Below are 16,226 nucleotides of genomic sequence, written 5' to 3'. Positions count from 1 at the left end.
CTACTAAAAGTACAAAAATTAGCCGGGTGTGGTGGTGCATGCCTGTAATCCCAGCTACTAGGGAGGCTGAGGCATGAGAATCGCTTGAACCCGGGAGGTGGAGGTTGGAGTGAGCTGAGATCACGCCACTGCACTCCAGCCTGGGCAATAGAGCAAGACCCTATCTCTTAAAAAAAAAAAAGAATTACTTTTAAAAACAGAAAATATAAAGAAGTTAAACCCCAAAAAGGCATCTGATCTTGATGATTTAACAGGCATATATGTGTACATATTTTTTCAAAACAGATATAGCTGGTTTATTTTGGAAATAAGTCTCATCCAGAAATGTTACTTGCTGCATTTAAAAAACATCTGAGGCTATTTGCATGTTTCTTCCCCAAACCCTCAATCCAGCCAAGGCCAGTTTTACCACCCAAGGTCCTTTCAGGATCCCAGGCCTGGAGGCTGTAGAAGACAGCATTGAATCCTAAGGGCAAAAGAATGGTGTTTACTTGTCCAGAATTTCTCTCACACACATATATATGTATGAAGAAAAACATTCACTGCACTTTTTTTTTATTTTTTAGAAACGGGATCTCACTCTGTTGCCCAGGCTAGAGTGCAGTAGTATGGTTGTAGCTCACCGTAGCCTTGAACTCCTGGGCTCAAGTGATCCTCTGGCCTTAGCCTGACAAGTTGCTGGGACCACAGGCATGTGCCTCTACACCAAACTATTTACTGCATTATTAATGGCTACAGCAAAAATACCAGTAACAACCTAAATATGTCCGGCTGAATGTCTCAAAAAATTACAGTACATTTATACTCTGACATACTATGAAAAAATATGGTAAAAACCTACATAAATTTTAAAAAATCTAAGAAATAATAATTTTAAAACTCTCAGTATAAGCCGGGCACAGTGGCTCACACCTGTAATCCCAGCACTGTGGGAGGCTGAGGTGGGCGGATCACAAGGTCAGGAGATCGAGACCAGCCTGGTCAATACAGTGAAACCCTATCTTTACTAAAAACACAAAAATTAGCCAGGCGTGGTGGCACAAGCCTGTAGTCCCAGCTACTCGGGAGGCTGAGGCAGAAGTATCACTTGAACCCAGGAGGCGGAGGTTGCAGTGAGCCATGATCGTGCCACTGCACTCCAACCTGGGTGACAGAGTGAAACTTCATTTCAAAAAAAAAAAACAAACAAACTCTCAGTATAATGTATAAATGAAATCATATTATATGTTAAAAAACAAATGTGTGTGTGTATACAAGTATGTGAGTGTATGTTTATATATATGTATGTATCTATAAAGATGCATAGAAAAATGTCTGGTAGGATACATACCAAAACTGTTACACTAAATAGTCAGTGGGATAAAAAGGGACTTTTACCTCTAACTCTCTAATATAAATCAATATTTGATTATTTTATGAGACTGAACTTTTTATTTACTTGTAAAATTTTTAAAATGAAGAAACTCAAGATGGAAGGCTGAAAATAAAATCCTGGCTGGGCGCAGTGGCTCATGCCTGTAATCCCACCACTTTGGGCGGCCAAGGTGGGTGGATCACCTGAGGTCAGAAGTTCGAGACCAGCTTGGCCAACATGATGAAACCCCGTTTGCTATTAAAAATACAAAAAATTAGCTGGGCGTGGTGGGGCACGCCTGTAATCCCAGCTACTCAGGAAGCTGAGGTAGGAGAATCACTTGAACCCGGGAGGCAGAGGTTGCAGTGAGCCGAGATCACGCCATTGCCCTCCAGCCTGGGCAACAAGAGCGAAACTCCAACTCAAAAAAAAAAAAAATCCTATTAGTAACATTTTAATTTGTATGTATTTATAAAAGAAAAAATTAATATAAAACTTACAGTAACTGCGAATACACTTTCCTCTTCTAATGCAGACTGTATTCTGTCTCTGGGGAAAAATAAGACAAAATAAAAAAGCCTTATTTCACACGAATATAATGAACTTGCCACTGAGCATCTGAGAGAAGGAAAATTTGGCTAACTTCTTTTTAAAAATTTTTTATTATTTATTTTTTCAAATATGTATATCTGTATTTTTGTAAACAAAAATGGGACAACAGGCCGGGCACACTGGCTCATACCTGTAATCCCAGCACTTTGGGAGGCTGAGACAGGCAGATCACTTGAGGTCAGGAGTTTAAGACCAGCCTGGCGAACAACAGAGTGAAACCCCGTCTCTACTAAAAATAAAAAAAGTTAGGCAGGGCACGGTGGGTCACGCTTGTAATCTCAGCATTTTGGGAGGCTGAGGTGGGTGGATCACCTGAGGTCGGGTGTTCGAGACCAGCCTGGCCAACATAGTGAAACCCTGTCTCTACTAAAAATATAAAAATTAGGCCAGGTACGGTGGCTCTCGCCTATAATCCTAGCACTTTGGGAGGCCGAGGTGGGTGGATCACTTGAGGTCAGGAGTTTGAGACCAGCATGGCCAACATGGCAAAACCCTGTCTCTACTAAAAATATAAAAATTAGCCAAGCGTGTTGGCATGCGCCTCTAATCCCAGCTACTCGGGAGGCTGAGACAGGAGAATCGCTTAAACCTGGGAGGCGGAGGTTGCAGTGAGCCGAGATCACACCACTGCATTCCAGCCTGGGCAACAGAGCGAGATTCCATCTCAAAAATAAAAATAAAATAAAAATACAAAAATTAGCTAGGCATGGTGGCCAGCATCTGTAATACCAGCTACTCAGGAGGCTGAGGCAGGAGAATCCCTTGAACCTCAGAGGCGGAGGTTGCAGCGAGCCAAGGTTGTGCCACTGCACTCAACCTGAGCAACAGAGTGAGACTCTTTTTCAAAAACAAAACAAATGGCAGAGGGGACATCATTTATATATTAATATGAAATCCAGTTTTCATATAACAATATGTCATGAATATCTTTCCATGTCAATGAATATACACAAATGGTTATTTATTTATTTATTTAAATTATTATTTTTTTTTTGAGATGGAGTCTCACTCTGTCACCCAGGCTGGAGTGCAGTAGCACAATCTCGGCTCGCAACCTCTGCCTCCGAGGTTCAAGCGATTCTCCTGCCTCAGCCTCCCAAGTAGCTGGGATTATAGGTGCCCACCACCACGCCTGGCTAATTTTTGTATTTTTAGTAGAGACAGCGTTCTACTGTGTTGGCCAGGCTGGTTTTGAACTCCTGACCTCAAGTGATCCACCCACCTTGGCCTCCCAAAGTACTGGGATTACAGGCATGAGCCACTGTGCCCAGCCCACAAGTGCTAATTTAAAATGGCTGCAAGTTATTCTGGTTCTAACAGAGCTGCTGTAATTCATTTAGCCAATTCCTTAGTAGTAGTTTTTAATTTTTTGAGATTTAAAAGTTTTATTCATATGTGGTTGTATATATTTCTCATTATTTTCTTAGGTTAAATTTCTAGGCATAAAATTCCTAGATTCAAGGATATGTACATGGTATAATCTTCGCCTTCTGGAAAATTTGGTTAACTTCTTTCAAACTTCCATATTACATGAAGTCTAACTTTCAGCTCTTTTCTTAATTTAGCCTAAGTATTGCACTATTTTTAGTACTTTCCTTAAGTCTTTACACACATCCAATTTTGGTAACTACCAGCCTTATGATCTGATATCTTCCTCTTCCCTCTTGACTCACTCTTGACAACTAAGGTATTCGAAATGATAAGCATCAAAAATAGCAAAACCTATTTCCAAGCACGACCTACCCTAACTTTTAAATTAATTTGCCTGTTGGTTTATTACCTTATGTTTATTTCACTTATGAATTCTAGACGCCATTACCTATACAAAGAAGCCAGCAGCCTCCATGTGACCATCTCCTGTTGAAGAAGCCAGAGCATACTGGCTGTTTTTGAAAATTTTTGAAGTCCAGGTGTTGCTCGACTCACTATTTTACTCAGTATATTCACCTGAATAAAAAACACAGATGTAAAGAGGTTAATTTTCTACAATTTTGAGTCACTGATAAGTTTGTATTTGAATAGAGTGCTAAAATAATTGTATTTAATAAGTATATATTATAAAATTGCCTTCTCTATTTTGTCTTTTTAAATTAAATGTAATGTAATGTTCCCACTAGAAATGGATCTAATTTGGAACAAGGTGTGTTTATCTGAGTATATATATAAGTCTAACATACTCTTGATTTCAGATCCAACAGTGGCAGTGATGGATATATTTTTTTCTCCCTGTATATCTACCCAGAGGATAAGTTAAATCAAACCTATACCTGGAAAAATCATAACATAAGCCAACATTTTAGCAATTAAAATTTAAAAAGTTATCTTAAAATTGTGTTTGAAAATTTATATCAGGTAACTAATCAAGAAAGATATTTTCCTAAGATTGGCACCAAAAACATTATCATTTCTAAACAAAACATCACCAAAGTCCTTCCTCATTCCAAAATAGTGGTCTTAAACCTTTTCAGAGGCTGGGCGTGGTGACTCACGCTTGTAATCCCAGCACTTTGGGAGGCCGAGACAGGTGGATTGCTTGAGGTCAGGAGTTTGAGACCAGCCTGGCCAACATGGTGAAACCCCATCTCTACTAAAAATATAAAAAATTAGCCAGGCATGGTGGTGTGTGCCTATAATCCCAGCTACTCAGGAGGCTAAGGCAGGAGAATCACTTGAACCCAGGAGGCAGAGGTTGCAGTGAGCAGGGATCCTGCCACTGTACTCCAGCTGGGGCGACAGAGTGAGACTCTGGGGAGAAAAAAACAAAAACAAAAACAAAAACACCTTTTCAGGACTGAGGCACATGTAAAAATCTAATAAAAGGCATGAATGGTCCCCCTAGAAACATACACACAATTGTTTATCAGGAGGTTTAACGACCCAGGGTAAAGAAAATCTTTCTCAAAGGTTACTAACAGTACCTCATTATCTTGTCAAGATGAATTAAGGAAGAAGACTGCTCTCATTCAGAACACCACAATGGGTTTTCCCACCCCTTAATAAGTATTCACAAAGTAATGTTACTACTGTCTTAAGACTAGTACTTCATAAAAGTGTTATCTGTACTTCATTCATTACATTCTCAGCTGGAATCCTGACTCCAGTGATTCACTAAGTGTTATTTAATGAAGCTACTGCATTTATAATAGAACAATTCAGAGGTCAATTATTGAAACATTAAATGATAAAAAGTTGTCTATTACTATTATTTCAATTATTACTGAATGCAGTATTTTCTTGAAGTCTTTTCCTCTTTCTAAAAATAGACTTCTTTAGTGTAGTTTTATTTTATTTTATTTTGAGACGGAGGAGTCTCACTCTGTTGCCTAGGATGGAGTGCAGTGGCAGAATCTCAGCTCGCTGCAACCTCTGCCTCCCGGGTTCAAGCGATTCTCCCACCTCAGCCTCCCGAGTAGCTGGGATTACAGGTGCCCACCACCACACTCCACTAATTTTTTTGCATTTTTAGTACAGATGAGGTTTCACCATATTGGCCAGGCTGGTGTTGAACTCCTGACCTAAGGTAATCTACCTGTCTTGGCCTCCCAAAGTGCTGAGATTACAGGTATGAGCCACTGTGCCTGGCCTAGCTTTAAATTCCCAGCAAAATGGGGCAGAAAGCAGAGTACCCAAATATCTCTTCCCCCACACAATCCCAGCCTCCCTCACCATCAATATCTAACACTAGAATGGTATATCTGTTACAACTGAGGAACTTATATTGACACATCATTATCCCCCAAAGTCCATAGTTTACATTAGGATTCATTCTTGGTGGTGTACATTCCATGAATTATGATAAATGTATACTGACATGTGTCCCCCATTATAGCATAAAGAGTGGTTTCACTGCCTTAAAAATCCTGTGTTCTACCTATTCATTGCTCCCTCGCAACTAACTCCTGGCAACTGATGATCTTGTCACTGTTTCCAAGTTTTGCCTTTTCCAGAATGTCATATAGTTGTAATCATATAATATGTAGCCTTTTCAAATTGGCTTCTTTCACTTAGCAATATGCATTTAAGGTTCCTCCATGTTTTTTCATGGCTTGATAGCCAGTTTCTTTTCAGCATTGAATAATGTTTCACTGCTCAGATGTACCAGTTTATTCATTCGCCCACTGAAGGATATCTTGGTTGCTTTCAAGTTGTTACGAATAAAACTGTAATAAACGTCTGTGTAGGTTTTTGTGTATACAGTTTTCAACTCACCTGGGTAAATATCAAGGAATGAGTTTGCTGGATCATATGACAATAGTATGTTTAGTTTTGTATGAAACTGCAGACTGTCTTCCAAAGTAGCTATAGTTGTTTGCATTTCCACCAGCAATGAATGATAGTTCCTGTTGCTCCACATCCTCTCCAGCATTTGGTGGTGTCTTTTGGATCTTCATCATTCTATTTCTTTTTTTGTTTGTTTTTGCAGAGATGGGGTTTTGCTATGCTGCCCAGGCTGGTCTTGAACTCCTGGCCTCAAGTGATCCTCCTGCCTCAGCCTCCCAAAGTGTTGGGATTACTGGCAGGAGCCACAGCACTGGCCTGGATCTTCATCATTCTAATAGGTATGTTGTAGTATCTCATTATTTTAATTTGCAATTCTCTAATGACATACAATGTGAAACATCTTTTCTTTCTTTTTTTTTTTTTTGAGATGGAGTCTCACTCTATCGCCCGGGCTGGAGTGCAGTGGCTCAATCTTGGTTCACTGCAACTTCCGCCTCCCAGGTTCAAGCGATTCTCCTGCCTCAGGCTCCTAAGTAGCTGGGATTACAGGTGCCCACCACCACACCTGGCTAATTTTGTATTTTAGTAGAGACAGGGTTTCACAATGTTGGCCAGGCTGGTCTCGAACTCCTGACCTGCAGTGATCCACCCACCTCGGCCTCCCAAAGTGCTAGGATTACAGGCATGAGTCACCACGTCTGGCCAAAGCATTTTTTATATGCTTATTTGCCATCTGTATATCTTCTTTGGTGAGGTGCCTGTTCCCATCTTTTGTTCATTTTTTAACTAGATTGTTCATTTTCTTATTGTTGAGTTTTATTTTGTTTAAGTTCCAGGATAAATGTGCAGGATGTGCAGGTTTGTTACACAGGTAAAGGTGTGCCATGGTGGTTTGCTGTATCTGTCAATCCATCAACTAGGTATTAAACCCAGCATACATTAGCCATTCTTCCTGATGCTCTCCCTCCCCCCACCCTCATTTCTTATTGTTGAGTTCTAAATATTCCTCGTATATTTTAGATTTTCCTTCAGACAGGGTCTACTCTGTCACCCTGGCTGGAGTGCAGTGGTGTGACCATGGCTCACTGTAGCCTCAAACTCTGCGGCTCATGCAATCCTCCCACCTGAGCCTCCCAAGGAGCTAGAATCACAGGTACATAGCACCATGCTTGGCAAATGTATTTCTTGTAGAGACAAGGCCTTCCCATGTTGCCCAGGCTGGTCTTGAACTGCTGGGTTTAAGTGATCCTTCTGCTTTGGCCTCCCAAAGCATTGGGATTACAGGTGTGAGCCATTGCATCTGGCTGGATTTTCCTTTTTTAAAGCAGCAGAATCCTTTTTTCTCCCAAAGAAATCTTGTATGGGCCCTCAATATGTAAGACGCAGGGATGCTCTAGTTGACTTTCCCTCCACTCCTGCCACTGTTCCCCTAAGACACCTCCCTTAAACACTATGAAAATTAGGTTAATGCTGTTTATGAAAACTAAAAATACTGAAGTTTGACTAACGACGGAGTGAAATTAGCTTACCTGACTACCACAGATGTTTTCATACTCTTCCACAAGATCAAAAACTGTACTCGAAGAGTGCTTCAGAAAAGACTGCAGGAAATCAGAAAACATACTCATGGATGCTAGAACACATCAAAAAAAAAAAAAGGAATAAAGAAAAGTTAAGTGACGTACTTCTAGGTAATTCCGTTTGTTTGAAAATGTATTTATTTGTTTATTTATTTTTTGAGATGGAGTTTCACTCTTGTTGTCCAGGGTGGAGTGCAATGGCACGGTCTCAGCTCACTGCAACCTCCACCTCCCAGGTTCAAGTGATCCTCCTGCCTCACCCTCCCAACTAGCTGGGATTACAGGCATGTACCACCATGCCCAGCTAATTTTTGTATTTTTAGTAGAGATGGGGTTTCACCATATTGGCCAGGCTGGTCTCAAACTCCTGACCTCAGGTGATCTGCTCGCCTCAGCCTCCCAAAGTGCTGGCATTACAGGCGTGAGCCACCGCACCCAGCCTGTTTGAAAATTTAAATGGCTACAAGTCTTTTATAAATTCACTGCTATATTAAAAAAAAAAAAATTGAGACAGAGTCTCACTCTGTCACCCAGGCTGGAGTGCAGTGGCGCAATCTCAGCTCACTGCAACCTCCACCTCCCAGGTTCAAGCGGTGCTCCTGCCTCAGCCTCTCAAGTAGCTGGGACTACAGGTGCGTGCCACCATGCCCAGCCAACTTGTTGTATTTTTAGTAGAGACGAGGTTTCACTGTGTTAGCCAGGATGGTCTTGATTTCCTGACCTCATGATCCGCCCACCTTGGCCTCCCAAAGTGTTGGGATTATAAGCGTGAGCCACCGCACCCAGCCTCAAAATTTTTTTTAATTGGCAAGATACACATAATATAAAATTTATCTTAATCATTTTTCTTTTTTTTTTTTTTAAGAGAGGGGGATCTTGCTCTGTCACCTAGGCTGGAGTACAGTGGTGCAATCATGGCTCACTATAGCCTCAAACTCCTAGGTTCAAGTGATCCTCCCACCTCAGCCTCCCCAGTAGCTGGGACTATAGGTATATACCAGCCACCATGCCCAGCTAATTTTTTATTAGTCTGTAGAGACAGGGTCTTGCTAACTCCTGTCTCAGCATCCCAAAGTGGTAGGATTAAAGGCATGAGCCACTATCCCTGGCTTAATCATTTTTAAGTGTATAGTTCAGTGTCAGTAAGTACATTCACATTGTTGTGCTACCATCACCACTATGTATCCACAGAACTATTTCATCTTGTAATACTGAAACTCTGTACTTAATAAACATTAACTCCCCACTCTCCACTTACCCCAGCCCCTGACAACTATCCATCTACTTTCTGTCCCTACATGTGTTGACTATTCTAAATATCTCATGTAAGTGGAACCATAGAGTATTGCCCTTTTGTGACTGGTTTATTTCACTTAGCATAATGTTCTCAAGGTTCATCCATGTTGTAGCATGTGTCAGAATGTCCTTCATATTTGGCTGAATAATATTCCACTGTATGTATAGATCACATTTTGTTTCCCCCATTCATCTATCAACAGGTACTTGGCTTGCTTCTACCTTTTGGCTACTATGAATCATGCTATGAACATGCATGTACAAATATTTCTTTGAGACTCTGCTTTCCAATCTTTTGGATATATACCCAGAGGCAGGTTTGCTGGATCATATGGTAATTCTATTTTTAATTTTTTGAGGAACTGCCATACTGTTTTCCATAGCAGCTGTACTATTTTACATTCCAACCAATAGTGCACAAGGATTTGAATTTCTCCACATTGTTGTCAATACTTGTTATTTTCTGGGTTTTTGTTCTTGTTGTTGGTTTGTTTGTTTTTCAGTAGCCACACTAACGGGTGTAAGGCAGTATCTTGTAACTCACTGTAGTTCTGATTTGGATTTTCCTAATGATTAGTGACATTTGAGTATATTTTCATGTGCTTACTGGTCATTTGTGAATCTTCTTTAGAACAGTGTCTATTCTATTTCTTTCTTTCTCTCTTTCTTTTTTGAGATGAAGTTTCGCTCTTGTTGCCCAGGATGGAGGTGCAATGGCATGATCTCAGCTCACCGCAACCTCTGCCTCCCGGGCTCAAGCGAGTCTCCTGCCTCAGTCTCCCGAGTAGCTGCGATTACAGGCATTCGCCACCATGCCCAGCTAATTTTGTATTTTTAGTAGGGAGAGGGTTTCTCCACATTGGTCAGGCTGGTCTCGAACTCCCAACCTCAGGTGATCCACCCGCGTCAGCCTCCCAAATTGCTGGGATTACAGGCATCAGCCACTGCGTCCAGCCTCTGTCTATTCTATTTCTTTGCTCATTTTTAAATTGGGTTGTTTTTTTGTTGTTGAGTTGTAGCAGTTTTTATACATTTTGGATATTAACCCCTAAGCAGATATATGATTTGCAAATATTTTCTCTCATTCTGTGGGTTGCCTTTTCACTTTGCTGATTGTATTCTTTCGTGCACAAAAGTTTAAAATTTTGATGTAGCCCAATTTATCTATTTTTTCTTTTGATACCTAAAGGTCTTTTAAGATCTCAAAGATATACTAGTTATTTTATAAACAATTACTTAAGAAATTGAGCCAGATTTAAAAATATCTGAATTATATTTTAAGCACACCATTACAAAGTAGTGGAGAAAGTTATAATACATACTAAATGGCATGTTCCACTCTGGGAAAATACAGGCACTTGGCCTAAGTAGAAAGTATTTTGAGTCACTTAATACGAGTACCTGTTTTTGACAGATACTACAAGAAAGTAGTAGTTACCAAAGTGTTAAGAGCAGGGCTCTGGAGCTAAACTGCTTAGTTTCAAATCCTGGTACCACTACTTCCTAGCCAGGTGGTTTGAGGTAAGTTACTTAACCACTTTGAGCAGTAGTTTCCTTTTCTCTAAAATGGGAATAATTATTGTAACTATTTAATGGACCACCATAAGGATTACATGAGTTAATGCTTGTACAGTGGTCATAACACTATCTGAAAAAAAATAACAGCATTACGGTCCAGGAGAAAACAAAACACATCAACAATGTTAGATTAAGAACTAAACCTAAAGAAAGAGATGCTCTTTCAACAGCACAAATAAGAAAAAAATTACAATATGAGACTTGTCTAATAACGTAACAGGCTGCTATTTACATTAAAAGATAAAATGGCAAGATGCTGCTCAGACTGAGAACCAAGGTGAGGTTCTCAACCTTCTAGTGATACTGTATCAAATACCATTGCCATAACCACAACTAATTAGCTTAAGGAAAAATATATTATAGACAGAAGACCAGATGAAGACACAGGAGGAAGACAGCCATCTGTAAGCCAAGAGAAGAGGCTTCAGAGAAAACCAACCCTGCCAAGACCTTTAACTCAGACATCTAGGCTCCAGAATTGTGAGAAAATAAATTTATGTTGTTGCCTATAATCCCAGCACTTTGAGAGGCTGAGGCGGTAGGATCACTTGTGTCCAGGAGTTTGAGACCAGCCTGGGCTGGTCTTTGTAGACCCTGTCTCTATAAAGAAATAAAAAATTAGGCTGGGCACAGTGGCTTACGCCTGTAATCTCAGGACTTTGGGAGGCTGAGGAGGACGGATCACTTGAGGTCAGGAGTTCGAGATCAGCCTGGCCAAAATGGTGAAACCTCTCTCTACTAAAAATACAAAAATTAGCCAGGCGTGGTGGTGGGCACCTGTAATCTCAGCTACTCAGGAGACTGAGGCAGGAGAATCACTTGAATACAGCAGGTAGAGGTTGCAGTGAGCCGAGATTGCACCACTGCACTCCAGTCTGGGCAACAGAGTGAGACTCCGTCTAAAAAAAAAAATAAATAAATAAATAAATAAATAAAAAATTAGCTGGCGGCCAGGCGCAGTGGCTCACACCTGTAATCCCAGCACTTTGGGAGGCCAAGGCGGGTGGATCACCCATGGTCAGGAGTTTGAGACAAGCCTGGCCAACATGGCAAAACCCCGTTTCTACTAAAAATACAAAAATTAGCCGGGTGTGGTAGCAGACGCCTATAATCCCAGCTACTCTGGAGACTGAGGCAGGAGAATCATTTAAACCTGGGAGGCGGAGGTTGCAGTGAACCAAGATCCCATCACTCCACTCCAGTCTGGGTGACAGAGCGAGACTCCATCTCAAAAAAAAAAAAAAAAAATTAGCTAGGCATGGTGGTACATGCCTGCAGTCCCAACTATTCAGGAGGCTGAGGCTGCAGAATTGCTTAAGCCTGGGAGGTTAAGGCTGCAGTGAGCCATGATTGTGCCACTGCATTTCTGCATTTAGCCTGGGTGACAGAGTGACTGTTTTTTTTTTTGTTTTTTTTTTTTAGACGGAGTCTTGCTCTGTAGCCCAGGCTGGAGTGCAATGGTGCGATCTCAGCTCACTGCAAACTCTGCCTCCCGGGTTCAAGCGATTCTCCTGCCTCAGCCTCTCAAGTAGCTGGGATTACAGGTGTGCACCACCATACCCAACTAATTTTTGTATTTTTAGTAGAGACGAGGTTTCACCATGTTGGCCAGGCTGGTCTTGAACTCCTGACCTCGTGATCTGCCCGCCTCGGCCTCTCAAAGTGCTAGGATTATAGGCATGAGCCACCGCGCCCGGCAACAGAGTGAGACTCTTGTCTCAAAAAACACACACACAAAAATCTGTTGTTTAAGCTACTCTCTCAAGAAAAAAAGACAGAAAGAAAGAAAAGAAAAACATAATGACGTTCAGAAACAGGAAGAAATGGTTTCCTTCATCTTGCTAAAGTGAAAAGCTACTTGTCACAAAGCTCAATGCCATTTTACCAGCTTCTCCAGGATCATCCTCACGTAACATAACAGCACTGATAGTTACATCTTCTGTTATACTGTGGGGCTCTGTGTTTGTGAACAGCCCGGAACGCTGTGATGAAAATGCAGCTGCCCAGTTACTGTCATCCAGATTAGTAACCTTAAAAAAAAACAAAAAAGTAAAAATACAGAAAAGTGATGGAGTTATTGTCACTGAGTGGATACTTTAAAAACAAATAAGGTTTCTAAAAATTATATGTATGTATGCGTCTTTTTTTTTTTTTTTCCCTTCTTGAGATAAGGTCTGGATCTGTTGCCCAGGCTGGAGTTCAGTGGCACGATCATGGCTCAACGCAACCTTTGCCTCTCAGGCTCAAGCCATCTTCCCACTTCAGCCTCCCAAGTAGCTGGGACTACAGGCACGTGCCACCACGCCTGGCTAATTTTTGTATTTTTGGTAGGTATGGGGTTTCACCATGTTGGCCAGGCTGGTCTCAAATTCCTGGCCTCATGTGATCCACCTGCCTCAGCCTCCCAAAATGCTGGGATTACAGATGTGAGCCACCATGCCCGGCTACTATAGTGTATTTTTAATACTTAGGTGAAGTCATTCTGCATCACAGCTTACATAACATTTCTTTTGCTATTTTTAATACTGTTCCATAGTGATTCCTAAAGAGTATCTCACCTACTTTTTCCAATTTTCTCTTTTATCCCCTTTAATACATTTTATCTCTTCCTTAAGATATTCTTCATCTGTTAACCTCTGATTCCTACTCTTGTATGCTTCAAAACAGGGATCAGATTTTATAGCCATCAGCAACCAACCACAGCATGTACTTCTTCTGGTCAGCAAACTGACAGATTAAAACATCTTATTTTCATCTAAAGGTTGCTGGTGTCACAGTTTCCATCTGTGATATCAGATGCATAAGGTTTTCAGTTTTTTTACTGTCTAATTATTTCAATCCATATAACCTAAAGTTACTGTTATGATGATTCTGACTCAATATTTGTTAAAAGACTTTTACATCAAATATCATATTTTTATAAAAAGGGAGAAGTTCTTTTTTCTCTTTTTTTTTTCTTTTGCAATCACAGGTCACTGCAACCTCTGCCTCCTGGGTTCAAGCAATTCTCACACCTCAGCCTCCCGAGCAGCTAGGATTACAGGCATAAGCCACCACTCCCAGCTAATTTTTTTATTGTTAGTAGAGACAGGGTTTTATCATGCTAAGCAGGCTAGTCTCAAACTCCTGACTTCTGGGAGGCCAAGGCGGGAGAATCACTTGAGGTCAGGAGTTCAGGGAGTGCTGAGATTACAGATGTGAGCCACCACACTCGACCCAAAAGGAGTTCTTAGCCCTATTTTTCTACATACCATGGAGAGATTTCCAAAGAACCCTGAAGACTGCGTAAGTCGGGGCGACTTCCCTCCTGTTCCAAGAATGCAGGAAATATCTGGCTGCCTTAGTAAGCTTCGGCTTGTTGGGGTAACTATAAACAAAAGGTTGGTAGAAAGAACCTAAAGTGCGTGAGCATTCATTATCAAAACAAAGTAAGCAAACAAACAATGAAGAATAAATTTTTCAGTTTTCCATTATTTAGACTCTAACCAAATAAATACTTTAAATGTTAACATTTCCATGATACAAGGATTTAACTTATTTTTCTAAATTTGAGCTGTAGGTACTACTGAGCCTAACAGGAAACATTTTACTGCAATTACAGATGCTTTCATTATAGAATAACTGAGCAGTTAAAGACACTAATCAGTCAACGGATTCTTCATATTTTAATTTTATAAGGCATACTGAGGCAGTGCAGTGTAGTGGGCATAAACTTTGGAGTAAACAGATCATTGTTTGAATCCCAGTTCCATTATTTACATACTCTTTTTTTTCTGTCTCAGAACAAAAAAAGAGTATGTAAATAATGGAACTGGGATTTTTTTTTTTTTTGCTCTGTCGCCCCAGCTGGAGTACAGTGGCACAATCTCAGCTCACTGCAACCTCTGCCTTCCGGGTTCAAGCAATTCTCCTGCCTCACCCTCCGGAGTAGCTGGGATTACAGGCATGTGCCACCACGCCAGCTAATTTTTGTATTTTTAGTAGAGATAGGGTTTTGCCATGTTGGCCAAGCTAGTCTTGAACTCCTGGCCTTAAGTGATCCACCCACCTTGGCCTCCCAAAGTGTTGAGATTATAGGCATGGGCCACTGCATCCAGCCTATTTACATACTTATTGTATATATTAGTTAACTTCTCTAAGTCTCACTTTCAGTTTTGGTAAAACAGGGCCAACAATACCCATGTCATAGTTACCGTGTGTTTATGGAAAGTACAGTACCTTGTACATGGCAAGAGTTCAAACGAATAATAACTGCAATCATTATTATTAGTGCTTATTGATATCGTAACCAAATACTATACTAATTATGTTACAATAAATGTTAGTTGCTATTATAATTACCGTTATTATTAAATGCTTTAAAAGCAAAAAATCTTACAAGGCTGTCGAAATGAGCTAGGAGTTCGAGGGATAACCTGGTTTCTTGGTGTAGTATTACCAAAATTTTCATCTTGAGATGCCTGAACTGTACAACGAGTTAAGAAAAGTTTTCCATGTAGAAAAGAGATCACTAAAATGAGAATTAACCATCTTTTTACTATACAAATTATGTGAATACATTTTTCAAGAACAAGTATTTTAGGGCTACCATTTTTCAATGCAAAGGGTAAATAATTCATTGCTTCTGCCATTTAAATGATCAGATGTCAGTCTTAGATAACTACACACTGAACTAAATGTTTTTAGTCAGTTTTCAAATAATAAAAAGAAATCTAATCTCAGCAGAAGCTGTCAGCAGTAAGAAATATCTTTATTTTTAGGGAAATACGATCTCATTAAATTTTTGCATTATATTTACCAAATGACAGCTCTGTGGAGTGAAAAAAAGTTTCTACAGGATTTTATTATAGCTACCATTTAATACTCTTATAAAAAGAAAATTCTACAACACTGATTCCAAACATGTTACAATTTTTATAATGATGCTTAAATCGCAAAGGATACGTAAAACTCTTTTCTGAGCACTCTGTTTCCGTGCAGTCCGTGTCACCTCTGCCTCCCGGATTACAGGGGATGATATCTCTCCAAAGCCACTCCTAAAGTAGTATAATCAAGCTTATATAAGTGAAACGAGAATATAGCATTTATAAAGAATTTTATCATCACAGTTGGAGTAAAGGACCCTGAGTAAGTTAAGGTATAGTCATTCTAGTAGCCAAGTCTTAGATCTTTTGTTGAGAACGCACTCCTGGCTCCAAATCCTGCTTATTCTTCAAAGCCTTACTCAAATCTTACCTGCACAAAGACTTCTCTGACTTTCTAGTACTCACTATGTTATTTTCTCCTAAGGAATTATTTCAACACTTGGAATCTATATTATAACACTGTTTTAGATAATTGCTTCATGAAAGTGAATCTTATTTCCCTTGTTGGATTGAGGAGTTACCTAACTGCAGGAATTCTCTCTTAAAAGATTTTCTGCAGTCTCCAAAATGCTTTAAACCATGGGTACTATTAAAAAACAAACAAACAACAACAACAACAAACAGAGCTTGCAACAACAACAACAAACAGAGCTTGTGAGATAGAAGGGTAAGTAAAAGAATTGTGGTAAATTGGAGCAAAATGACCCTTCAAGTTATTTC

At 40.2% G+C, this 16,226-nt stretch overlaps 1 protein-coding gene across 3 annotated transcripts in view; it reads right to left on the bottom strand.

The window, feature by feature from the left end:
* Nucleotides 1–16,226, bottom strand: part of NUP107 (nucleoporin 107) — a 58,832-nt gene that overhangs the window by 41,171 nt on the left and 1,435 nt on the right. For 2 of the 3 annotated variants that reach the window (NM_020401.4, XM_005269037.5), the window contains exons 2-8: nucleotides 15,586–15,677; nucleotides 15,020–15,106; nucleotides 13,893–14,008; nucleotides 12,527–12,671; nucleotides 7,717–7,820; nucleotides 3,786–3,913; nucleotides 1,855–1,903 (exon numbers count right to left, since the gene is read on the bottom strand). In NM_020401.4, the coding sequence (NP_065134.1) occupies nucleotides 1,855–1,903; nucleotides 3,786–3,913; nucleotides 7,717–7,820; nucleotides 12,527–12,671; nucleotides 13,893–14,008; nucleotides 15,020–15,106; nucleotides 15,586–15,677 (721 nt within the window). Of the gene's footprint in view, nucleotides 1–1,854; nucleotides 1,904–3,785; nucleotides 3,914–7,716; nucleotides 7,821–12,526; nucleotides 12,672–13,892; nucleotides 14,037–15,019; nucleotides 15,107–15,585; nucleotides 15,678–16,226 lie in introns of all 3 variants that reach the window. The other variant, NM_001330192.2, reaches the window with a different exon arrangement.

This window comes from Homo sapiens, chromosome 12 (genome assembly GCF_000001405.40).
Source record: "Homo sapiens chromosome 12, GRCh38.p14 Primary Assembly".
Classification (NCBI taxonomy): Eukaryota; Metazoa; Chordata; class Mammalia; order Primates; family Hominidae; genus Homo; species Homo sapiens.
Note: the sequence above shows the minus strand (reverse complement) of the source record. Positions and strands in the feature narration are given on the sequence as shown.